The sequence below is a fragment of the Homo sapiens genome, chromosome 6 (assembly GCF_000001405.40).
Source record: "Homo sapiens chromosome 6, GRCh38.p14 Primary Assembly".
Taxonomy (NCBI): Eukaryota; Metazoa; Chordata; class Mammalia; order Primates; family Hominidae; genus Homo; species Homo sapiens.
The window spans coordinates 47,190,486-47,216,469 of NC_000006.12; the positions used below are offsets into that span (position 1 = coordinate 47,190,486).

The 25,984-nt window shown below is 40.7% G+C and overlaps 2 annotated features.

The window, feature by feature from the left end:
- Positions 12,974–13,073: an enhancer, noted in NCBI's record as "active region_24655". NCBI's record gives its function as "activates an Ori minimal core promoter by ATAC-STARR-seq in GM12878 lymphoblastoid cells {active_cell/tissue: GM12878}" and the evidence as "EXISTENCE:reporter gene assay evidence [ECO:0000049][PMID:35858748]".
- Positions 23,734–23,934: a silencer, noted in NCBI's record as "peak5831 fragment used in MPRA reporter construct". NCBI's record gives its function as "represses an SCP1 promoter by STARR-seq MPRAs in K562 erythroleukemia cells {active_cell/tissue: K562}" and the evidence as "EXISTENCE:reporter gene assay evidence [ECO:0000049][PMID:32103011]".

A 25,984-nucleotide genomic window follows, 5' to 3' on the forward strand; every position in this document is an offset into this window, starting at 1 on the left:
AAACAAATGGAAGAACATTCCATGCTCATGGGTAGGAAGAATCAATATCTTGAAAATGGCCCTACTGCCCAAGATAATTTATGGATTCAATGCCATCCCCATCAAGCTACCAATGACTTTCTTCACAGAATTGGAAAAAATTACTTTAAAGTTCATATGGAACCAAAAAAGAGCCCACATCGCCAAGTCAATCCTAAGCCAAAAGAACAAAGCTGGAGGCATCATGCTACCTGACTTCAAACTATACTACAAGGCTACAGTAACCAAAACAGCATGGTACTGGTACCAAAACAGAGATATAGATCAATGGAACACAACAGAGCCCTCAGAAATAATGCCGCATATCTACAACTATCTGATCTTTGACAAACCTGACAAAAACAAGAAATGAGGAAAGGATTCCCTATTTAATAAATGGTGCTGGGAAAACTGGCTAGCCATATGTAGGAAGCTGAAACTGGATCCCTTCCTTACACCTTATACAAAAATTAATTCAAGATGGATTAAAGACTTACATGTTAGACCTAAAACCATAAAAATCCTACAAGAAAACCTAGGCAATACCATTCAGGACATAGGCATGGGCAAGGACTTCACGTCTAAAACACCAAAAGCAATAGCAACAAAAGCCAAAATTGACAAATGAGATCTAATTAAACTAAAGAGCTTCTGTACAGCAAAAGAAACTACCATCAGAGTGAACAGGCAACCTATAAAATGGGAGAAAATTTTCACAACCTACTCATCTGACAAAGGGCTAATATCCAGAATCCACAATGAACTCAAACAAATTTACAAGAAAAAAACAAACAACCCCATCAAAAAGTGGGCAAAGGATATGAACAGACACTTCTCAAAAGAAGACATTTATGCAGCCAAAAGACACATGAAAAAATGCTCATCATCACTGGCCATCAGAGAAATGAAAATCAAAACCACAATGAGATACCATCTCACACCAGTTAAAATGGCAATCATTAAAAAGTCAGGAAACAACAGGTGCTGGAGAGGATGTGGAGATATAGGAACACTTTTACACTGTTGGTGGGACTGTAAACTAGTTCAACCATTGTGGAAGTCAGTGTGGTGATTCCTCAGGGATCTAGAACTAGAAATACCATTTGATCCAGCCATCCCATTACTGGGTATATACCCAAAGGACTATAAATCATGCTGCTATAAAGACACATGCACACGTATGTTCATTGCGGCACTATTCACAATAGCAAAGACTTGGAACGAACCCAAATGTCCAACAACGATAGACTGGATTAAGAAAATGTGGCACATATACACCATGGAACTCACCATAAAATATGATGAGTTCATGTCCTTTGTAGGGACATGGATGAAACTGGAAATCATTATTCTCAGCAAACTATCGCAAGGACGAAAAACCAAACACCGCATGTTCTCACTCGTAGGTGGGAATTGAACAATGAGAACACATGGACACAGGAAGGGGAACATCACACTCCAGGGATTGTTGTGGGGTGGGGGGTGGGGGAGGGATACCATTAGGAGATATACCTAATGCTAAATGACGAGTTAATGGGTGCAGTACAGCAACATGGCACATGTATACATATGTAACAAACCTGAACATTGTGCACATGTACCCTAAAACTTAAAGTATTATACTAATAATAAAATAAAATTAAAAAAAGAACTACATACTTTTGAAAAGTGACAAATTGTTTCTGTAATTCTGATGTTAAATTCACTTATCTCAATCATGCTGAATGCAGACCAAAGATATTAGTTTGGCAAAACTAATTTAAGGAGATAGAAATTAGAATAATTGTTACCCCAGAGTGGAGGGGAGGTCGACTGGGAATGGGAAGGTACACAAAGTAATTTTCTAGAATGATAGAAATGGTCTGTATCTTGACTGAGCGTGGTGGCTCACGCTTGTAATTCCAGCACTTTGGGAGACCAAGGCGGGTGGATCGCTTGAGCCCAGGAGTTCGAGAGCAGCTTGGGCAACATGGTGAATCCCCATCTCTACTGAAAATATAAAAATTAGCTGGCTGTGGTGGCTTGTGCCTGTAATCCCAGCTATGCAGGAGGCTGAAGCAGGAGAATCGCTTGAACCGGGGGGCGGAGGTTGCAGTGGGCCCAGATTGCAATACTGCACTCCAGCCTAGGTGATAGAGCGAGACTTGGTCTCAAAAAAAAAAAAAAAAAAAGTCTATATGGTCTATATCTTGATTGGGGCATTAGTTTCAGATGAGATACATAAGTTAAAACTCATCAAACTGTGCACTTAGTGTGCATTTTATTGTAAATAAATACCTATTGCAAATACCTTGATTTTAAAAATTTCTTTAAATGCCTGCTCCCTAAGAGCAGTTAAGAGCCAGTTTTTGCCACATGCTCTTGGAGACCACCTTTTGTCTGGAACCTGAGCTAGCCCTTTGCCAAAGAAGAGATTTCAGCAAATTCTACAGCCCCATAAAGTAATCCAGAAAATCACTGGCAGTGACAGTCAGAGTTTACAAGATCTGATATTTAAACTCTCCATAGAATTTTACATTTCAATTTTGTTTTGTATTTTAACATGTATTAGAAAACATATGGCTGGGTGCAGTGGCTCATGCCTGTAATCCCAGCACTTTGGGAGGCTGAGTTGGGAGGACCACTTGAGCTCAGGGGTTCGAGAGCAGCCTGGGCAACATAATGAGACTTTGTCTCTACTAAAAATTTTGAAAAATTAGCCAGGTATGGTGGTACATGCCTGTAGTACCAGCTACTTGGGAGGCTAAGGTGAAAGAATTGCTTGAGCTCAGGAGGTGGAGGCTGCATTGAGCCATGATTATGCCACTGAACTTCAGCCTGGGTGGCAGAGTGAGACTCCATCTCAAAAATATATATATATGTATATAAAAAGGGAGGTGGCCCAGTAATGACATAGGTTTACAGATGTTTCTCAAGTTCGACTGAGTAGAGAGAGATTGTGACAGCTATTACTAGTTGCTAAGTTAGCTTCTTACTTCATTCACAGAACCTCAGTTTGGTTCAGGAAGCAATTTCCCAGTTAAAAATATTCATGTCCCTAGACTCTGTTGTAGCTATGGTGGCTGTGTGACCCAGTTCTGGCCAACGAGATATAAACAAAAGTCTACTGGATCGGAATTTGGGGAAAACTATTGTTTTCCCAATAAAAAGGATCCCACCATGGGCAGGTGCCTTTTTCTCTTTGATTCTTCTCTGTCCTCTGTCTTCAGCATGAAAATAAGGTGAAATGGTTGGATGAAGTACAGCCATCTTGGACCATTAAGACGCTAAGGGTGGCAGAGCTGGAAGGAAGAAAGAGGCTGCTTCCTAACCATAGCCTCTTTATTACATGAAAAACACCCCCTAGTTTGGTTAAGCCACTAAAGTAGGGTTTCTTTTATATCCAGCCAAATCCAATTATGGTACTTTAAAATTTTTAACTTAAAAATATGAATTAACTATAAGCATAGGTGGTACATGATTTTGCAGAAGACCTAAGTGTGAGACACGAGGAACGGGGATCTAAGAAACACAGGACTGTACTGTGAGCTCCTTGAGGACAGGGACCACGTCTGATTGTTGTTGTTACATCTTTTCATGAGCCCAGCACTGGAATATAGGAGGTGTCCAATTTGTATTTGTCAGATGGAACTCTGTGCCAACTTAAGCGAGGAGCCATATTTCAAAAGACCTTATCTCCCAGGCCGGAAAAATTATTTTTATAGGAACTTGGTCGGGACAGTCCTGAATTTAAGAGATTCCTTTTTCAACCAAATTCAAATTCCTCTTGAGGCTAGAGAAGGGTTCCATTTCCTCTTGACACATCCTTATTAAAGGAAGAGAATAACCATATGATCCCATTCAGAAAATTAAAATCTGGAACCCAGTGCAGATTCTGAGACAGGGTTGTTCCCTGATAGTACATCTGGACTCACAGTAAGGTTCTAGCCTTCCTGTGTGAGGGTTGTAGTGAAAGACCACCAGAAAGCAAATGCGCCATGCTTGCTTGTTTGGTGGCGGGGCTGAATTTGTGCTTATGCCCTGGTGTGTTGGAGCTGCCTTGAGGTGGTGAGAGTTGATTGTGTGTGTCTTTTACTACCTCCCGCTTCAGTGACTTCATGTTGTAGCTTGAAATGGGCCATGGTGGAAGTATTTACTCCCTGGAAATAAGCAAATGTTACAAATCAGAGTCCCCCCAACCCATCCTCCTCCCAAGAGCTGGTTATTAAACATCTACTAGTATACCACTGTGCTTATCTGTCCCTGTTTCCTCTCTCAGGTAGTCACTGTAATGCCAGTAATGATAGTGCCTTATATTTGGATAGTGGGTTCCAGTTTTTAAAGTGTCACCACATAAAGGATGTCATTTGACTCTCCCAGCAGCCCTAAGAGATAGACAAGGACTTTGTTATTCGCCTCATATATTAGTTTCCTATTGCGACTGTAACAAATTGCCACATTTTTAGTGGCTTAAATGGACACAAACATATATCATCTTAGAGTTCTGGGAATAAGTCTGAAATGGGTCTCAAGGGGCTAAAACCAAGGTACTGGCAGGGCTGTACTCCTTCTGGAGGCCCTAGGGAAGAATCAGTTCCTTGCCTTTTCCAGGTTACAGAGGCCACTGCATTCCTAAACTCATGTTTCCATCAACTTTCCATCCTCAAAGCCAGCAACAGCATCATTTTGACTTCTGTTTCCATCGTCACATCTCCTTCTCTGACTCTGACTCTTCTGTTCCCTCAAAAGGACCCTTGAGATTCCACTGGATCCACCTATATAATCCAGGATACGCTCCCCTCTTAAGGTCCTAAATCACATCTGCAAATCCCTTTTTGCCGTTTGAGGTCACATGGTTACAGATTCCAGGAATTAAGATGTAAACATGTTAGGGGGGAAAGGGTCATTATTCTGCTTACCATACCCCCTTTTATAGATGAGGAAGCCAGCTCTGTAAGATGATGGCTCTGGTTAAGTTCATGCAGCTGTCAGTGGCGAGGAGAGACTTGGCTTGAGGCCCATGCTTTTCCCACTGCAGTGTGCTGTGTCTGTAAATATTTTTCCAACAGCTGGCCCAGGGCAGGGGCACATTCTGGGGCAAAGGATATAGCATATTTAAGGATAGCTAGTATCTGGGAGACTGAACCTATGACTTTATGGGCCCTCCCAGGTCCATGCTTCTGCTAATGACACATCCTCCAATTTTCTTCCCAGAGTCCCTCAGATACCTCAGAGTGGGAATACAATTACCTAAAGTCTCTCAGAATTAGATTTTCTTTTCTTTTCTTTTGTTTTTTCAGACAGAGTCTTGCTCTGTCACCCAGGCTGTAGTGCAGTAGCATGATCTCGGCTCACTGCAACCTCTGCCTCCCGGGTTCAAGTGATTCTCTTGCCTAGGCCTCCCGAGTAGCTGAGACTACAGGTGTGCACCACCATGCCCAGTTAATTTTTATATTTTCAGTAGAGACGGAGTTTCACCATGTTGGCCAGGCCGATCTCAAACTCCTGACCTCAAGTGATGAGCCCGCCTCAGTCTCCCAAGTGCTAGAATTACAGGTGTGGGCTACTGCACCCAGCTCAGAGCTAGATTTTCTACGTATTGGTTGAGATATAACTAAGGGCTTACCAAGACACATGGACACATTTCCTTCCACCCACTCTTTAGCCACTCAGCAGTCCGACCCCTTTCTTTTCTGGGACTGAGCGTCCAACCTCACGACTCATCACACTTTCTATTCTGTCTCCCAGGTCATCACCACCTCCCTTCCTCAGATGAAATAATATGTAAATAAAGGAAACTATTAGGATGTCAGCACATCATAAGGACGTCTGTGACACTCAGTGACACTCAAACTGATTAGATTCAAATCGGAAGAAGGATTAGAGCCCTCCCCCACTCCTACTAGTGCTCTATGCCAAGAGAAGGCAGCAGCTTAAAAGATGCTGAATTAGGAAGCTTGTGTCCTTGTTCACATACTCTTCTCCCAATTCATGGCCTGACTTTGGGCAATCACTTCTTGTGAGCCTTCATTCCCGTATCAGGGTTGACACAAGAAGCAGTTCACTCCTTGAAATGCTATAGTATAATGTAAAAGTGCTGGATCTAGCATCAGACTTCCTGAGTTCACAATCCTGGTTCCACCAGTTATTAGATGGGCAAAGTTGGATAAAACACTTCTCTATGTCTCATTCTTCTTATAAATAAAATGGGGATGCTAATAATATCACCATTTTACAGACTTATTGTAATGATTGAATGACTTAATGCAGGCAATGTACTTTAGCATAGTGCCTGGCATGTCATAAGCCCTTAATAAATGTTAGTTATAGTTGTTGCAGGTTAGTGATTTTTAAAGTGTGGTCCCTGAACCAGCAGCATCAGCTTCATGTGGAAATTTACTAAAAATGCAGATTCAAAAGCCCATTTCAGACTTTCTGAACCAGGAACTCTCAGGATGATTGAATTGAGTTTCTCAGGCCATTGAATCCTTACAAAAAAAGTCTGTAACATGGTGACATTATTAGCATCTCCATTTTGTTTATAAGAAAAATGAGACTGAGACAAGTGTTTTATTCTACTTCACCCATCTAATAATTGGTGGAACCAGGGTTGTGAACTCAGGCTGGGGCCTAGCTATCTGTGTTTTAACAAACCCTTTAGAGAATTCTGATGCTACATGCTAAAGTTTGGGAACCACTCATGTAGATGCTTCTAAAATCTCTTCCAGTTCTGGAATTCTATTATTTCATGCAAGGTTATACATTTATGCAAGGCCCCCAAAATTATTATTATTCATGCATGTTGTTCCACAAACATTTATTACATCTCCCTTCATATTGAGATCTGGGGCTAAAAAGCAAAGTAAGACATAGCCTGTGACCTCAAGTAGTTTATAGTCTATCTCATTACCCTTAATTTATAAGTTTTAAAATATCTTATTTGTAAATTTTTCTGCATTGATTCATGGCTACTATTTACTATATAAAAACAGTATTCTTCTTTAAAAAAAATCTGGTGGTTACAGTTAGAGTAAGATATTAGCTAAGTGACCTTGAAACTCAGTTTCTTCATTTTTAGAATGAGACTAGTAATACCTCATTCACTAATTTGTTGTGAAAATTAATATAATTAAATGGGATGACATGCATGAAATGACAGTTTGTTATAAATGTCTAAAAATGGTCAGCTGGGTCTCTATTTGAACCTAGTCATAATTAAGTATTGTTGATTAGTATTGATTTGGCTTTATAGTGTATGTTGTTGATAGTCAAAAAAAAGAAAAAGGTTCAATTCATTATATGTTGAAATCTAGCTCCTCAGTGCTATAAAGAGCATACATCACTTTCACTTTCTCTTTTTCAGAACTCAGGTGTTGAAGACCCTCTTTGTAGTTCAGAAATAAATCAGAGAAATAGCTGGTGTGTATCCAAAAGGCCACATTAGAGCTAGGAATCAAAGAAAAGTTTAGACCAGCTACAGTCTCCTCAGCTATTTATGGTATAACTTTGAAATTCCCTCGGAAACTTCCCTTTTGATTCTGTCTCAGAAGATGTTATCTGATTAACTAGGCAGTCTACAGATTGCAGAAGAGTTTCAACTCTCTTTGTTTAAAATCAAGGACCTGCCCCTGAGTGTGAACTGGAAATAGAGCCCTTAAAGTCACCCAAATTCAGTTCAACAAATGCCACGTTGCTGAAAGACCATGATGGACTGCTTTTGAAGTTAGTGGTTTCTTCAACCAACAGGGCTCACTCTGAGTTTGGAAACTTTCTACGCATCAGGAGAAGAATAGCAACAATCCTATTCATTGACATGAAGCATTCTGCCTGCTTTTCCTTTATCCACCCAAACTAAAGAGAGTGTTTCGTGAAACTTCTTGGGGTGAGATTTTTAATGTGTGCCAAGATCTTGCTGCTCTGTTAAGTCCTGGCCAAGGAGGAAACAGCTGCTGAAAAGGCTAATGCGTCACCTTGAGTCTTACCTACAGATAGGAGCATGCCTTCTATTTATTGAATCACACTCTTTAGGTACTAGCCCTTCACTACTGCTCCTGACCTTTCGCCAATCTCCACTTGTTCAAATCTAAGTGGCACCTCACTTGTCAATGAATCCATGTAAGCCCTGGAGTTTTAACAAAACAATAGTCCCAGATTCTAAGGTGTAAGACAGTAAATTAAGATAATGTTTTGAGGGCTTCGATGTTGAAAATCTAGATCTTGATAAGTGCTGGAAGAGACACGGTCGAAGATGGCTTTTGTCTACTTGGGTAGCTAATTTGTTTACAGGGATGTTCTGTAGGGATCTGGAATTTAGCATCTTCAGACCTCAAACCATCATCATCTTAATTCACTGAGTGCCTGCTGGTGTGTGTGTGTCAGGCCCTGCGCGAGGAGTGTTTCTTACTTGACCTCATTTCAATCCTCACAACTCTGCAAGGTTGATTTTATCAATCCTATTTTATAGGGGAACGATATCAAACCTCAGCCTGGTCACATAACTTAGCTAAAAATTAATGGCTAGTTCAACAAAAATGAGATTGGTCTTCAGGCCCATCTGACTCCAGAACCCATATCTTTCCTAATTTATTTAGTGGAACAAAAACAAATCCATGTGCTCACAACAGAACACTGGGTATTAATTGCTCCCTCTTTTGTACCCCACAAGACCTTTCTTCCATCTGATGGGTCATCAGACCTTATAATGGCACCTTTTAAATGGATTTCTTTCTGCCTTCTTCTCCGTCTGCATCTCTAGCCCTCTCATTACAATCAAATAAATAAAATTTCCTCCTATCATTTTCTGCACTCCAGTTTTCATGGCCCTCCAATTCATCCTTCATGCTCCTCTTGGAGTCATCTTCCTAAGACTCAAACCTGGTATCTGTATTTAGATTTAGATGTTACAAGCAATGGAAGTAAAGTATGGCAAGTACTAATCTCAGAAGATAGCTAGGTACTATGGGCACTCAATGAAAGGCTCCTAAATGGTTAGGAGCAAGGTTTGGGGAGTAGGAGGTAGGAAAGGCATCCTGAGGGAAATAATAATTGAGCTGATACATGAGGGTTAAAAAAGGATTATACAAGTATAGTGTGGCAAGGACTGGGCTATCAAGATGGGAAAATATATGCCTGAAGACTGGGGGCAAGAAGGGATTTAAAGAGAAAAGGGAACTGAGAATAGAGATCAGAGAAAAAGAAGGAAAAACAAGGTGTTGCAGAAGCCAAGGGATGAGACTGTATGAGAAGGCAAGAGTGGACCACAGTGTCAATGTTGCCAAGAGGTCAAATAAGATGAGAGCAAAGAGTGTCCATTGGATTCAACAGTGGAGAAATCACTAATGACTGCACTAAAAGCCCTTTGAGTCAGTGATGTGAACAAAGGCTAGGTCACAGTGTTGAGAGAAGCAAATGGACTCTGAGGCACTGGAGACTGGAACTGTAGACAAATCATGGAAATTTAAAACATATCATTATTTTTTCAGATTCAGGGGGTCCATGTGCAGGTTTGTTATGGATAGATTGCATAATGCTGAGATTTAGGCTTCCATTGATTTGTCACCAAATAATGAACATAATATTCAATGGGTAGTTTTTCAAATCTTACCCCACTCCCTCCTTCCCCACTCTAGTAGTCCCCAGTGTCTCTTGTTCCCATCTTTGTGTCTGTGTGGACTCAATGTTTAGGTTCCACTTATAAGTGAGAAGAGGTGACATCTGGTTTTCTGAATTAATTCACTTAGGATAATGGCCCCCAGCTGCATCCATGTTGCTGCAAAGGACATGATTTCATTCTTTTTTTTTTTATGACTGTGTAATATTTCGTGGTGTTGGAATTTTCTTTCTCCAATCCACCATATTTTCTTTATCTAATCCATCACTGATGAGAACCTGGGTTGATTCTATGTCTTTGCTATTCTGAATAGTGCTGTGATAAAGATGCGAGCACAGGTATCTTTTTAAAACACTGTATCTTTACACTATTTGCTCATTCTGGACCATTTTCCTCCTTTCTTGCTTCTTTCACTATCTTGCCTACACCCTTCACACCCAATTTCTCTTTCTAGTGAAATCCTAGCCATTCTTTGAGACCAAATAAAATACCATCATATCCTAAGCTTTCCTGCATTCCTGGTGGTTAGAATGTACTGTTCCGTACTTGCCACATAAATCTTTGCTGAATTAGCAAACTGTTCCCATTTGACTGATTGCATGACATCTTATTTCTGTGCCTGTTATAGCACTTTCTTCTTGCTACCTTTTAATCTTTTTAGTTGTACAGACCTGTCTGCCTGACTACACAACTTGATGACAATGAACTAGCTACATATTAGTCATTTTTAAACATCTCATAGTTTCCAACTAAGTGCATTGGGCACTGTTGTGAATCAAATTGAATTTAACTGACTACTCTTGGTCTTGCATGGATTTAAGCACATTACATAATCTTTGTCCTTAGAGACAATGATTGTTAATCGTATCTATAATGGAAATGGAAAATCTTAGGATTTGCTAGTCATTTTTAACTTATCTAAGTATTTCCACTATGATTCACATGCTTTCCATATTCTAAATTCTATAAATCATTATCAGATTGGTTAATTCAATATATGTGAATGAATACTCTGCAAATCAACTCTGTGATCCAAGTGAAACAACTCAACTTTTAAGCTCAGAGTCCTCAAGTAGCAACTCATTAATGAAGCTGAGTTATCTATTCACGCACTGCTCTCTTTTCAAAGAACACTAGGCAATTGTTAAACCAAGCCAAACTAGAAAAAGTAACATTGAACTTTTGGGTTTCTAGGGACTACAACCAAAGGAATAAGTCATATTCTTAAATTCTAAACACCCAATGATCATTTGGAAAAGGCTGATTTAAAGAGGGCAACAACAATAGTTATAATGATGGATAAACTATTATGTTGTGGGTGGATTTCCAAAACCTTTAAAAAATGTTTCATAGTTGAAAATTTTTGTAGAAAAAAACTTTTTGTAGTTGAATTTAAAAATTTTTGTAGTTGACAAAATTAAGATCTACTTTCATTCTGTTTGATTAGTACAACTTATAAGCTCCAGTTTTAAATGTTTTGGAATTTCTACCAAGCATATTTCACAATTCTTCTGTAGTAGAATCTGGAATTTTTGCCACTTTCCCCTCAATAAAGCCCTACCCTTCACTGCATGTTAAATATCAAGCAGAAAGAGATAACCAACTTATCCCCAGCTCACATAGTATAATTGGGATTAAAATACAAACGTCCATTTTTTAAAAGCAAAATTCCGAAGCAACTATTGCTAAATGTTGATATTTTTAAAAAACTGAATAATGGGTACCCAGGCGATTGCTATATTGCTCTCTATTCTTTTCTCTAGACATGAGCTGTACATTTAAAATAAGGGGGAAAATATCCATATAGTCCAAAAAGTATTAGAGAACTTAATCAGGGAAAGAGTTTCTTGTATTGATTTTTAATTATCCAAGTTCTCTACTTGCCCCATGAGCACTTAGAAGTCAGAGATATTTCTTTGGTTTTCAGAGGAAGAAACAAAAATAGTTAAGAAGAACCAAGTGATTCCAGAGCAAGGCCAAGTCCAAGCTCAAGTCAGAGTTAAAATTCCTGGGGTATCAAAGGAAGGGAGGCTTTCTCCAAATACTTATTGGCATAAAGGACATTCAATTAGTACTTGTTCGATTAATTGGTTACTGATTTAACAGGAGTAAAAGCTCAACTCCTTGGGACAGGTGGCATATGTCACCTTCTGCTCATCATTGACCATGGTAGTGTGGGCCCAAACTCAGGAGACCATTGTATGACCTTTTTAGTAGTGGTGACAACTTAACACAAAACGACTCCTACTCAGAAGGATCCCTGCTTTTGTAAGGTGGCTGACCCAGGATGACGGGTACTGCCAATAGTCTTGGTATTGTAGAGCAAAGTTAATGAATCCAAAGACTAGGAAAAGCTACAGGACCTAAGGGTAAGAAAGAGCAAAAACATCCCAAAGAAATTAATTGTCAAGCAGTTCACCCTCATTTTGCCAGCATTCTGTTTTTACAGAGGTGACTAGATGGGATGGATTTGGTTGGTGAAAGAGGCCACAAAACAAGAAAGGGGGTGCATGGTGGCTCTGCTACAGCTCTTTAATTCTGCTCTCTCCTTCAGTTCAATTTAGCAGCATTGATTAAACACTTTCAATGAGCACCAATAGTAAGACACTACACTATCCTTTTTCTTCTGCCTCCTCGATGTCTTCTCTCTCTCCCTCTCTCTCTCTCTTTCACACACACACACACACACACACACCCTTGAAATTGTGAGCAGCTTGTTCTGCCCACAGGGAACTTCTGTCCAAAGTCCATGAAATGTCACTTTAAGCAACTGTAGAGAGTAGAATGGTGTAAAAGGAAGGTAAACTTCAACTCTCAAGAAAGATATTGCCTGAAAAAAACAAACTGATCTTTTATCAAAGCTCATTTCATCACAGCTGTTTTAGGATTCCTTAGTACGGTTTACTCATAACCTAGTTACAACACTTGACTGAGCTTCTCATAAGTGCCACAGCAGCTACCTATGCAGCCTGGGCCCACCTTTCCAGGCAATGACTGTTCACCTTATCCCCAGTGTCCTTCATTGATGCCCTCCTTCTCTCTGTCCAACATTATCTCCAACTGCCCATGAAACACTTCCTCCAACAGGAAAGTTCAGGCTTGTCATGCACCTGCTCTTTCTCAGGTGCATATTGGCTCAGATTCCCTTGGGAAGTCTCCAGTGTCCACTCCTCTAACCAGAATCCTTCCAAACTTTTGCATCTCTACCACAGCAGGCATGCCCCCTGGAAGTCTTCAAACCAGCAAGCCCCTCAGCTTCCTGAAAGCTCATGAGGCATTGACAGTCTCTCCCCTCACTAGGAACTTACCACATAAACTCTCTGTGGTTTCAGTTACCAGTCTCCCCTAACCAAACTGAAATCTTCTTTTCAGCTGAAAGTTTGACTTGCAGTCTCTGGGACAGCATCATGGGCCATGGCAGGGCCTTGAGCACCCTGGGTTTCACTGCATGTGTAAGAGAGAAAAGCAGAGGAGAAGCTCTGGCAATTCAAGGAAATGGGAAAAGTACAAGGACCAGGATATGCCGTGACTTTGAGATGACATGAGTGTGTTAACCATGTAGATTTTCCCTTTGTTTTGTCTCAGATGAGGACCTTAACAAGATGCAGGATGATGTTAGTGAAAAGGAAACAGGTCATATGTACCCTGAAGCTTCTTGGGCAACATGTAAATCAAATTCCCCCTCTCTGAAGAGAGAGACGTCAGAGTCAGAGTCACAGGAAGTACAGGCGTGTGTGGTTGTGTATATGTGTGTGACTGTTGTTTGCAGAAGTGACTCCTCCATGGCCATTGATTTCATGCACCTCTCTGGGCAGCCACGGCCCTGGTTAGAGTCAAGATTCCACCTAGGCCAACACACTGAGACTGAGAAGGTCCTAGGGGTAATTCTAAAAGGCTGGAGCTGGAAAGGACTTAGACAGCAAGAATCCCAAGTCACCCACTACACAAATGGAGCAGTGGAGCCTGCAGCTGGTGCAGAGCGTGGACGAAGCAGGTTATGGCTGAGCAAGAACAGCCACTCAGGCACTACCTTGGGGTGGGGCACACATGCCCACTGGGAGCCTTCCTGGGTACTGTAAAACACTGCCAATGCAAAAATCTAGGAGCAGTGAGACTCAGCTTCTCACTAACTTGCCATCCTGGGCTTGGCAGTACATGTTGTCTTTCCAAACCTTGTTACTGGGCCTGGCAGTAAAATTTCTCCTCAGAGACTCCACAGGGGAATCAGAGGTGGGTAGAGAAGGTTTAAATAAGTGCAATGTATGAACAGGTGGAGAAGAGGGATGCCTCAGTGGAGAGGTGCACACAAGGTAAGCCAAAGAGAAGCCAAGGTCAGCCATGGACATATGACTGCAAAGGCCTCTGGCCAAATTGAGCAACACATTTTCTCCTCTCTGCAGGGGAGGAAAGCCAGACTAGGCACATTCTGGGAGGTGCTTTTGAAAATCCCAGCCTGCAGAATCCTTTGGCTTACATTACCTATAAATGTTAGGTGACAGCATAGCCTAGAAGCAAAGCTGATGGTAAGATGAGACCCAAAAACAGACTGTTAGGTCCACTGGAAAACTCCTGCCTTCCCAAGGAGGCCACCAAAACTACAACTTGGAGTCCAAAGCAGGGCCAAACCTCAGAATATGACAGTTCCTTAGGGACTTCTTGTCAACTTTTTGTCTGAACTTGCCTAAGGCCAAGACATCCTGTGCTTATGCCAGCCTAACCCTCCCGAAGTATGCTTTCATCTCACCCCTCCCTCATCAGATCACTCCCCTGGTTCCATCCTTCCTCCTGCTTCAAGTCTAAACTTTGCTGCCCTGTTCTAGGCCTCCACAGCCCAGCCCTGCCTCATTCTCCATCCTACATTCCTCCCTCACCTCCACACTTTCCTCTTTATTGTCCCCTGCACTCTGTGCTCATTACTAACTCTGTGGTGTCTTTCCCTGCTCTTCTACCCAGATAGTCCTGTCTTCTCCCTCTGTCTAAAAATAAGCTACCTATTCAGCAAAGTGTGGCTCACTTCTTCCATGAATCCTTCTTCTTTACCAATGCACATAAATCTCTCCTTTCTCAAAACGTCGTTATAGCTCTCCAATACCCATACAAACCCCAGTCCTATTACTAATGCTAGTGCTGACACTATCACTGATAGTAAAATTTATGCTGGCCTAAATTGTAGGTAATTTTATATACTAGCTCACTTAATCCTCCAACAATCCTAAGAGATATGTACTCTGATTATCCCAATATTACATCCCTGAAAACAAGAAAGGAGATAGAGCACTCCAGTGGTAAGTATTTTCATATTTGGTGGATATTTAATATATAAGAGGCCCTCAGTGGCATCCAATGAGAGGAGAAAGCTATTACCACTTCTCAGCTATAGGGCCATTGAGGACCTTCACTATTGCCCCCCAAATAAATCATCTCTGACCTGACTCAGGGTCCAGGATAACCAGGCTTCAGGTGAGGGAAGCAGGAGCATAGGGAGAGTTGCATTTATCACCATAAATATCTTAGGCCTTGTTAAGTATCTGATACATTACATGTGAGCATTACATTTTGTTGAAGCCATGTATAAACATTCAATTACTATTCCTTGGCCTCCACTGGAGCAGAACTCATGGTCCTTGAAATGATTTATTTTGTGTTTTTTATGATGAATAATTTCAAACATACACAGAATTAGAGGAGTTTAATAAACCCCAGTGTACCTGTAACTCAGATTCAGCAATAATCAACTCACAGCTAGGCTTGTAGATTTTCTAAGGGAAAAAGCTTAGAAAGTTTTTAAACTTTGTTCCATTCACCCCTCACCTAAACTCAAATTATTCTGAAGCATATCCAAGACACTGTACCATTTCCTGATGAGGATATTTCAGAGAGAAAGGAAAGAGAGAAGGGAAACATACATTTTACATAAATTTTACTTTTCCTAAAACAAGGGATGGGACCTAGGAAAAAGGAATGCAAGACACTCTGTTCCCAGGATGGACAGAAAGTGACTAATTCTCCATTTTAATTGCTTCCCCACTTTATATTATGCAGTTTATTCTTTACCATTGTTGTATATGTTGTCCTGTAACTTGTGACCTTAAGGGCCTCACTTGGGTGTGCCTCATTGACTCCAGTTGAATTGGAAACACCTGGCTAACAGCATCCACATTATCTTCTTACTGGATTTAATGTTGTATGTTCTTGTGCTCCACATAACATCTGGCTTACCTTCCTCTCATCTTCCCTTCTTAATGTCCTTCCTTCCTTTCTTACCAATCCCCTCACTTTCTAATAACTTCCTTTTATTAATCTCGTATTTACTGGGCCCAGCTCCTGGCATACAGTAGACAAAGTAAAAATGAGACAGGAACATCTAGATGACCAGTGGGGACTTAGAGGTGACAGGAAACTCTTGCAGAATGAGAATGAATTAGCCAATTAAAAAAAAGGAGGTAGCAAGCAGTTGAACATGGAGGAAGGGCATTCAAGGCAGAAGCAGCAGTTCCAGCAAGGATCTGTGAAGGAAATTTGGGTCCATTTGGAGAACTGAAAAATGTACCATGTGACTGGACCAATAAATTTGAGTGGAGAGGGGGTAGAAAATAAGGAGGGTAGAAAATGTAGAATTAAGCATAGTTGAGAGCTTGGATAACAATATTGACTGCAGTCATGGGAAGATGGTTTGAGTAGAGCTGAGAGAGAGGGGAATTCTGCTGTGATAGAGATACACAACTATGATGCACTCCCCAAGCATCTGAATTTACCAAAGCACTTTTCAACTTTGACATCATCTTCTATGAGAACATAGTCTCCCAAGACTAGCTTATCTTTTTGATAATTAACTAAAGACTGTTTCCTCTCCCAGAGATTTTTCCTTGATTAAGAACTTACATGTTAGCTGGGGAAATCCAGGGCATGCATATTTATTTAGTTTGCAAACATTTATTTTCCTGGAAAATGTTTTCAAAACAGAAATTAGACTAGACCTTATCTTTTTTATAGATTTGTTTTTCTTTGTACAATGAAATAAAGGCAAAACAATTATAAGGTGGGAGGGTGGGGATGCAGATAATCATTTTTATTGTGGTGGTTGGTTTTATTAGGTCGACTGTATCTGCAGTGCACCTGTAGAAACTTACTTGGAAATGTTCAGTTCATGGCACAAGAGCTGTTTAACCATGTAGCTGGGACTTTCAGCTACATCTGTAGAACTCAAAAGGAAATTTAGAGTTGCCAACTGGCTGCTGAATTGGAGTTGTGTAGATTATCATTGCCACTGAATGATGTATTCTGGCTATTGTCACTGCCTGCATTTGCTTGCCTGTTAAAAATTCTAAACTTTGCACTTGATTTGTTGCACTTGACTTGTTTCAGAGCTCAAGGGTTGAATGGGTGATGTTTTTAAGTTCTAGGGGTCATAAATTTCAATTGCAATGAAGTATGCACTGGAGAGCTCTGGAGTGAGAAATGTGATTAAATGACCTCTAATGTACCTTCCATTTACATAATACTCTAGTCCTTGAGTCGCAGATGTCTGGAGCTACTAAATAGATCATTCGTTTTTCTAAAGTAAAACTTAACCCAAACTTCTGGAAGATGATTTAATGACCAGTTTGAATGGTGGAGGGAAGCATTTGATCATACTGGCATCTAGTTTCACACTTTATGAGATTTAGATTCAGGATCCACCAAGAACCTTGTTCCAGGACAATGCCAGTTTTTCTGCATCCAGATGTGACATCATTTCCACCCATTTGTTCTCTCATTTAAGTCAGGGGCTCACTCACCTGTTTCTCTCATTTTCAACCTGTTTTTCTAGGCTTTGATTATACTGCCTTGCTTGACCCAACTCTCACATTTCACCCAACTCTCACCCTCATTTGTAAGCTCAATTGCGCCCCAACTCTAGGTATAGATGTGATTTTAGACAGAGGAGGAGCTGTTTGGAGAGCGCTGAGAACCTAGAATCTCTGTCTTTAAACTCCTACCTTCAGACTGCCACTATTAGGGTTTCTACCTCCTATTTCCAGATGTCAGGGACTAGTTGCCCAACATAGGCTACTAGATTTTTTGATACTAACATTCTGTTCTCTGGGCTTTGGCTGGCATCCCACCCTATTCCTGCCTGGAGTCACCTCTGAATGTTATATTGTGAGACCTTGGAAATGATCCTTGCAACCTACAAGTCCTAGATCCCTGGGACACATGCCCTCTGGAACCTGCCCCACGTGTCCTCCAGCCAGGCTCACATGTGGACCTTCAGACTCCATTGACTCAATGGACCAGCTAGGCTTACTATCCTACAATTCCCTAGTCAGCTCCAGCCCCTGCCAGGCCTGAAGCCTCACTTATGCCCCTAGACTTGGTTTCTGCCCAAGGAGAAAGTGAAGGTGAAATCTCTAGCTCTGCCAAAGCCTTGCCTCGTTATCAGCACCACATTATCACTTTGTAATTGCTTTTCTCTGGTGTCAGTTTTCTTTCTTATATGTCCAATCACTGGTCCCTGACCTGGAGCTTGACCTACCATGGTAACAGTATCTGTCTCATGCCTCTTGCTTCCTTGAAACTCTCAGAGCCTCCTTAGCTGCTGGGGTATTACCTTACTCTGATATTTAGCTTGAATATACTCTGACCTTCCTGGCTTTAACAAATAGCTGCTGTGGGCCCAGGACTTCTATCCCAAATCCAGCTTATTTCAATGTTATGATGTAGCTCAGTGTCACCTGGACTCTGTTCTGAAGAAAATAACTATTCCATGAGATAATAGGCCTTTGTAAAAAAACAAACTGATTAATTGTAAAGTATATATTTGTTAGGAAGTGTGTATGTCATAATCATGTGAATTTGGGAAATGCTGTGCTAAATAATGTCAAGCAGATGACAGGACAGCAAAGTCCTTCACGACAGGACTTTTTGAGTCCATTAATATGCTACTAATGAGCATAATAATATTCAAGGAAGGTGGAAGGGGTCAGAGTACGTAGCTTTTTTCAAATGTATTGGCCTACTGAAGTTTTTCATGTAGAACACTCTAAACATCTCACCAAAACTTTCCCAGAACGCCTTTCAGTGATTTCAGCTCCATACTTTGACACTGACCTGGACCCACTTGAACAGGGAAATTTCCCTCTGTCAGAACCTAAAAAAGCATGTTGGTCAAGACATCTCTAAATATGAGAATGAAATTGGTCCTTATTTTACACCCACACACAAAAATCAACTCAAAATAGATTAAAGACTTAAACATAATACCTTAAACTGTAAAACTCCTAGAAGAAAATACAGGTATCTAGGAGTGGGGGACAGGCCAAGATGGCCAGTTAGAAGCAGCTGTGGTCTGCAGCTTTCACAGAGAAGAATGAAAATGGTGAGTGAATTCTGCACCTTCAACGGAGGTATCCAGGTTCTGGCATTGGGACTGACTAGGCAGTCAATGAGACCCACGGAAAGCAAGAAAAAGCAGGATGGGGTGACAGCCCACCCAGGAATGGCATGGAGCCAGGGAAGTCCCCACCTCCAGCCAAGGGAGGCAGTGAGTGATTGTGCCACCCTGCCCGGGAAACCACACTTTTCCCACAGATCTTTGCAACCCTCGGATCAGAAGATCTCCTTGTGAGCTTGCCCCCTACCTCCAGGGCCTTGGGTCCGAAGCCCAGAGCTGTGCAGGCTCTTGGCAGCTTCTCAGGCATGCACAGAAACCCAGGAGTTTTTGCATACTCTGGCCCCAGGAATTCTGGTGAGGCAAGAGTCTGTGCATTCCCCTAGGAAGGAGGCTGAAACCAGGGAGCCAAGTGACATCATTCTGTGGAACTCACTCCCGTGGCACCTCACAAGTTAAGACCCACTGGCTTGGAATTCCAGCCAGCCAGTGGCAGCAGGCTGGAGACTACCTGAGACAACTGAGTTCCAACGAGGGGAGAAGGGCAGCTGCCATCTCTACAGCTCGAGTTGGGGGTCCTGGCCTGCTGGCTTTGGAGAGTTTGGGCAGTCCAAACCATGAGGAATTCCCCACAGTGCAGCACAGTTGCTGTGGCAGTTCATGGCCAGACTGCTTCTTTATGTGGGAACCCAATCCATCCCTCCTCACTGGGAGGAGCCTCCGTGCATGAATTTCAGCAACTCCGGCCAGGATTTTACTGACAAAACCCTAATCTCCCCGGGACAGAGCCCCTGGGGGCAGGGGCGGCCATGGTCTCTGTGGTTCAGTGGACTTAACCTTTCTTGCCTGCTGGCTCTGGAGAATATGGGCAGTGTGGATGAGAGGAGTTCCCACCAGCACAGTGCACCTGCTCTGCCAAGGGGCAGCCAGACTGCTTCTTTCAGATGGTCCCTGATCTTGTTCCTCCTGACTGAGTGAGACCTCCCAACAGGGGTCTCCAGACACCTCCTAAAGGAGCATTTGGGCCCTCATTAGATCAATCCCCCGGGACAAAGCTTACAGAGGAAGGAGCTGGCTGCCATCTTTGCTGTTTTTCAGCCTTCAGTGGTGATACCTCCAGGTGTGGGAGGGACTGAGACGATTAGGATCTGGAGTGGACCCCCAGCAAACCACAGCAGCTCTACAGAAGGGGGGCCTGACAGTTAAAAGAAAAACAGAATAGAAAGCAACAACAAGAACAACATCAACAAAAAAGACCCCACAGAAACCCCATTCAAAGGTCGGCAACCTTAAAGATTGAAGGTAGATAAACCCACAAAGATGAGAAAGAATCAATACAAAAATGCTGAAAACTCAAAAAGCCAGAGTGCCTCTTCTCCTCCAAATGATCATGACAGCTCTCCAGCAAGGGCACAGAACTAGGCTGAGGCTGAGATGGCTGAATTGACAGAAGTAGGCTTCCAAAGGTGGGTAATAACTAACTTCGCTGAGCTAAAGGAGCGTGTTCTAACCCAATGCAAAGAAACTAAGAATCATGATAAAACATTACAGAAGCAGATAACCAGAATAATAGCCAGTTTAGAGAAGAACATAAATGACTTGATGAAGCTAAAAAACACACCGAGAACTTCACAATGCAGTCACACAAGTATCAATAACCAAATAGACCAAGCAGAGAAAAGCATCTCAGAGATTGTAGACTATCTTTCTGAAATATGACAGGTAGACAAGATAAAGAAAAAATGAAAAGGAACAAACAAAACATATGAGAAAAGACTGAACCTACTACTGATTGGGGTACCTGAAAGAGAGGGGGAGAACAGAACCAAGTTGGAAAACATACTTTAGGATATCATCCAGGAGGCCAGGTGCAGTAGCTTACACCTGTTATTCTAGCACTTTAGGAGGCCGAGGCAGGTGGACCACTTGAGGCCAAGAGTTCAAGACCAGCCTGGCCAACATGGTGAAACCCCATCTCTACTGAAAATATAACAATTAGCTCAGTGAGGTTGCATGTGCCTGTAGTCCCAGCTACTCAGGAGGCTGAGGCAGGAGAGTCATTTGGACCCTGGAGGTGGAGGCTGTAGTGAGCCAAGATCACACCACTGAACTCAAGCTGGGCAACAGAGTGAGACTTTGAATCAAAAAAAAAAAAAAAAAAAGAATATCATCCATGAGAACTTTCTCAACCTAGCAAGACAGGCTAACATTCAAATTCAAAACCCAGTAAGATACTCCATGAGAAGTTCAACTCCAATACACATAATCATCAGATTCTCCAAAGTTGAAATGAAAGAAAAAATGAGAGGAGTTCCCACCAGAACTCCTCTAAGCGTAGCCAGAAAGAAAGGCCAGACCACCCACAAAGGGAAGCCCATCAGACTAAAAATGGGCCTTTCAGCAGAAACCCTACAAGCCAGGAGAGACTGGGGGACAATATTCAACATTCTTAAAGAAAAGAGTGTCCAACCCAGAATTTCATATCCAGCCAAACTAAGCTTCATAAGCAAAGGAGAAATAAGATCCTTTTAAGGCAAGCAAATGCTGAGGGAATTCATCACCACCAGGCCTGCCTTGCAAGAGCTTCTGAAGGAAGCACTAAATATGGAAAGGAAAAACTGTTACCAGCCACTACAAAAACACACTGAAGTACACAGACTAGAGATACTACGAAGCAACTACATAAACAAGTCTGCAAAATAACCAGCCGGCATCATAATGACAGGATCAAATCACATCACAGTATTAACCTTAAATGTAAATGGGCTAAATGCCCCAATTAAAAGACACGGAATGGCAAGCTGGAAAAAGTCAAGATCCATCAGTATGCTGTGTTCAAGAAACCCATCTCATATGCAAAGACACACATAGGCTCAAAATAAAGGAATGGTGAAAAATTTACCAAGTAAATGGAAAACAGAAAAAAGCAGGGATTGCGATCCTAAACTAACAAAGATCAAAAAGACAAAGAAAGGAATGGTAAAGTGTTCAATTCACCAAGAAGAGCTAACTATCCTAAATATATATGCACCCAATACAGGAGCACCCAGATTCATAAAGCAAGGTCTTAGAGGCCTACAAAGAGACTTAGACTTCCATACAATAACAATGGGAAACTTCAACACCCCACTGATGATTTTAGACAAATCATTGAGACAGAAAATTAACAAACATATTCAGGACCTGAACTCAGCTCTGGATCAAGTGGACCTGACAGATATCTACAGAACTCTCCACCCAAAACCAACAGAATATACATACATTCTTCCCATTGCCACATAGACTGACTCTAGAATTGATTGCATAATTGGAAGTAAAACACTCCTCAGCAAATGCAAAAGAACTGAGATCATAACAAACAGTATCTCAGACTCAGCACAATCAAATTAGAACTCAAATTAGAAACTCACTCAAAACCACATAACTACATGGAAATTGAACAACCTGCTCCTGAATGACTCCTGGGTAAATAATGAAATCATGGCAGAAATCAAGTTCTTTAAAACTAAGAAGAACAAAGAGACAACGTACGAGAATATCTGGGACGCAGCTAAAGAGGTGTTAAAAGGGAAATTTATAGCACTAAATGCTCCACATCAAAAAGCTAGAAAGATCTCTAATTGACAAGTGAACATCACTACTAAAAGAACTAGAAAACCAAGAGCAAATAAACCTCAAAGCTAGCAGAAGACAAGAAACAACCAAAACCAGAGCTGAACTGAAGGAGATAGAGACACAAATAAACCTTCAAAAAATCAACAAATCCAGGAGTTGTTTTTTTGAAAAAAAAAATTAATAAAATAGATAGGCCACTAGCTAGACTAATAAAGAAGAAAAGAGAGGAGAATCAAATAGACACAATAAAAGATGATAAAGGGGATATCACCCTGACCCCACAGAATACAAACCATCAGAGAATACTATAAACATCTCTATGCACATAAACTAGGCAAGAGAAATCTAGAAGAAATAGATAAATTCCTGGACACATACACCCTCCCAAGACAGAAACAGGAAGAAATTAAATCCCTGAATAGACCAATAATGAGTTCTGAAATTGAGGCAGTAATAAATAGCCTACCAACCAAAAAAAAAAAAAAAAAAAAAAGACCAGGACCAGATGGATTTACAGACGAATTCTACCAGAGGTACAAAGAGGAGCTGGTTCCATTTCTACTGAAACCATTTCAAATAATTGAAAAGGAAAGGTTCTTCCCTAACTCATTTTATACAGCCAGCATTATCCTGATGCCAAAACCTGGCAGAGATACAACAAGTAAAGAAAATTTCAGGCTAATATCCCTGATGAACATTGATACAAAAATCCTCAATAAAACACTGGCAAACCAAATCCAGCAGCACACGAAAAAGCTTATCCACCGTGGTCAAGTTGACTTCATCCCAAGGATGAAAGTTTGGTTCAACATATGCAAATCAGTAAGTATAATTCATAACATAAACAGAAGTAAAGACAAAAACCACATGATTATCTCAATAGATGTAGAAAAGGCCTCTGATAAAATTCAACATCCCTTCATGTTAAAAACACTTAATAAACTAGATACTGAAGGAACATACCTCAAAATAATAAGAGCCATATATACAAACCCACAGCCAATATAATGAATGGGTAAAAGCTGGAAGCATCCTCCTTGGACACTGGCACAAGACAAGGATGCCCTCTCACCATTCCTATTCAACACAGTATTGGAAGTTCTGGCCAGGGCAATCAGGCAAGAGAAAGAAATAAAGCATATTCAAATAGGAAGAGAGAAAGTCGAATTATCTTTGTTTGCAGATGACATAATCCCATATCTAGAAAACTCCATCATCTCAGCCCAAAACCTTCTTAAGCTGATAAGCAACTTCAGCAGTCTCAGGATACAAAATCAAAGTGCAAAAATTGCTAGCATTCCTATACGCTAGCAACAGACAAGCAGAGAGCCAAATTATAAATGAATTCCCATTTGCAATTTCTACAAACAGAATAAAAAATCTAAGAATACAGCTAACAAGGGAAATGAAGGACCTCTTCAAGGAGAACTACAAATCATTTCTCAAGGAAATCAGAGAGGATGCAAACAAATGGAAAAATATTCCATGCTCATGGATAGGAAGAATCAATATCGTGAAAATGGCCATACTACCCAAAGTAATTTATAGATTCAATGCTCTTCCCATTAAATTATCCTTGACATTCTTCACAGAACTAGAAAAAACTATTTTAAAATTTATATGAAACCAAAAGAGAGCTCATATAGCCAAGACAGTCCTAAGCAAAAAGAACAAAGCTGGAGGCATCACGCTACTCAACTTTAAACTACTCTACAAGGCTACAGTAACCAAAACAGCATTGTACTGGTACCAAAACAGACATATAGACCAATGGAACAGAATAGAGAACTCAGAAATAAGATTGCACACCTACAACCATCTGATCTTCAACAAACCTGACAAAAACAAGCAATGGGGAAAGGAATCTCTATTTACTAAATGGTGCTGGGAAAACTGGCTAGCCACATGCAGAAAATTGAAACTGGACCCTTTCCTTACACTTTATACAAAAATTAACTCAAGATGGAGTAAAGACATAAATGTAAAACCAAAAACTGTAGAAATGCTAGAAGAAAACCTAGGCAATACCATGCAGGACATAGGCAACAGCAAAGATGTCATGATGAAAATGCCAAAAGCAATTGCAACAAAAGCAAAAATTGACATATGGGATCTAATTAAACTAAAGAGCTTCTGCACAGCAAAAATAAACTATCATCAGAGTGAACTGACAACCTACAGAATGGGAGAAAATTTCTGCAAGAAATTTTCTCACAAAGTTCTAATATCCAGAGTCTACAAGGAACTTAAATTCACAAGAACAAGACAAACAACCCAATTAAAAAGTGGGCAAAGGACGTGAACAGACATTTCTCAAAAGAAGACATACATGCAGCAAACAATCATATGAACAAAAGTTCAACAACATAACCAATCGTTAGAGAAATGCTAATCAAAACCACAATGAGATATCATTCACACCAGTCAGAATGGCTTTTATTAAAAAGTCAAAAAATAGCAGATGCTGGTGAGGTTGTGGAGAAAAAGGAATGATTACATATTGTTGGTGAGAGTGTAAATCAGTTGAATTATTGTGGAAATTGGTATGGCGATTTCTCAAAAACCTAAAAGCAGAAATTCCATTTGACCCAGTAATACCATTACTGAGTATACACCCAAAGGAATATAAATTATTCTATTATAAAGACACATGCATGCATATGTTCATTGCAGCACTATTAACAATAGCAAAAACATGAAATTAACCCAAATTTCAATCAATGATAGACTGAATAAAGAAAATGTGGTATATATACACCATGAATACTATGGAACCATAAAAAGGAACAAGATCATATCCTTTGCATGATCTGATGGAGATCATCATGGATGGAGCTAGAAGCCATTATCTTCAGCATACTAACACAGGAACAGAAAACCAAACACCACATGTTCTCACCTATAAGTGGGAGCTGATGGATGAGAACACATGGACACATGGGGGGAACAACATGCACTGAGGCCTGTTGGCAGGGGAGAGAGAAAGACATCAGGAAGACTAGCTAATGGATGCTGGGCTTAACACCTAGGTGATGGATTAATCTGTGCAGCAAACCACCATGACACACATTTATCTATGTAACAAAACTGGACATCCTGCACATGTACCATGGAAATTAAAATTAAAGTTGAAGAAAAACAAAGAAAATACAGGGAAAAATCCCCTTGTCATTGTTCTTGGCATTCATTGCATAGATATGACACCAGAAGCACAGGCAACAAAAGCAAAAATAGATAAGTAGGACTACATCAAACTAAAAAGCTTCTGCAGAACAAAGAAAACCATCAACATTGTGAAAGGGCAAATTATAGATTGGAAGAAAATATTTGCAAACCATTTATCCAAGAAGGAGTTTTTCAAAATATATATTTTCAAAATATATAAGGAATTA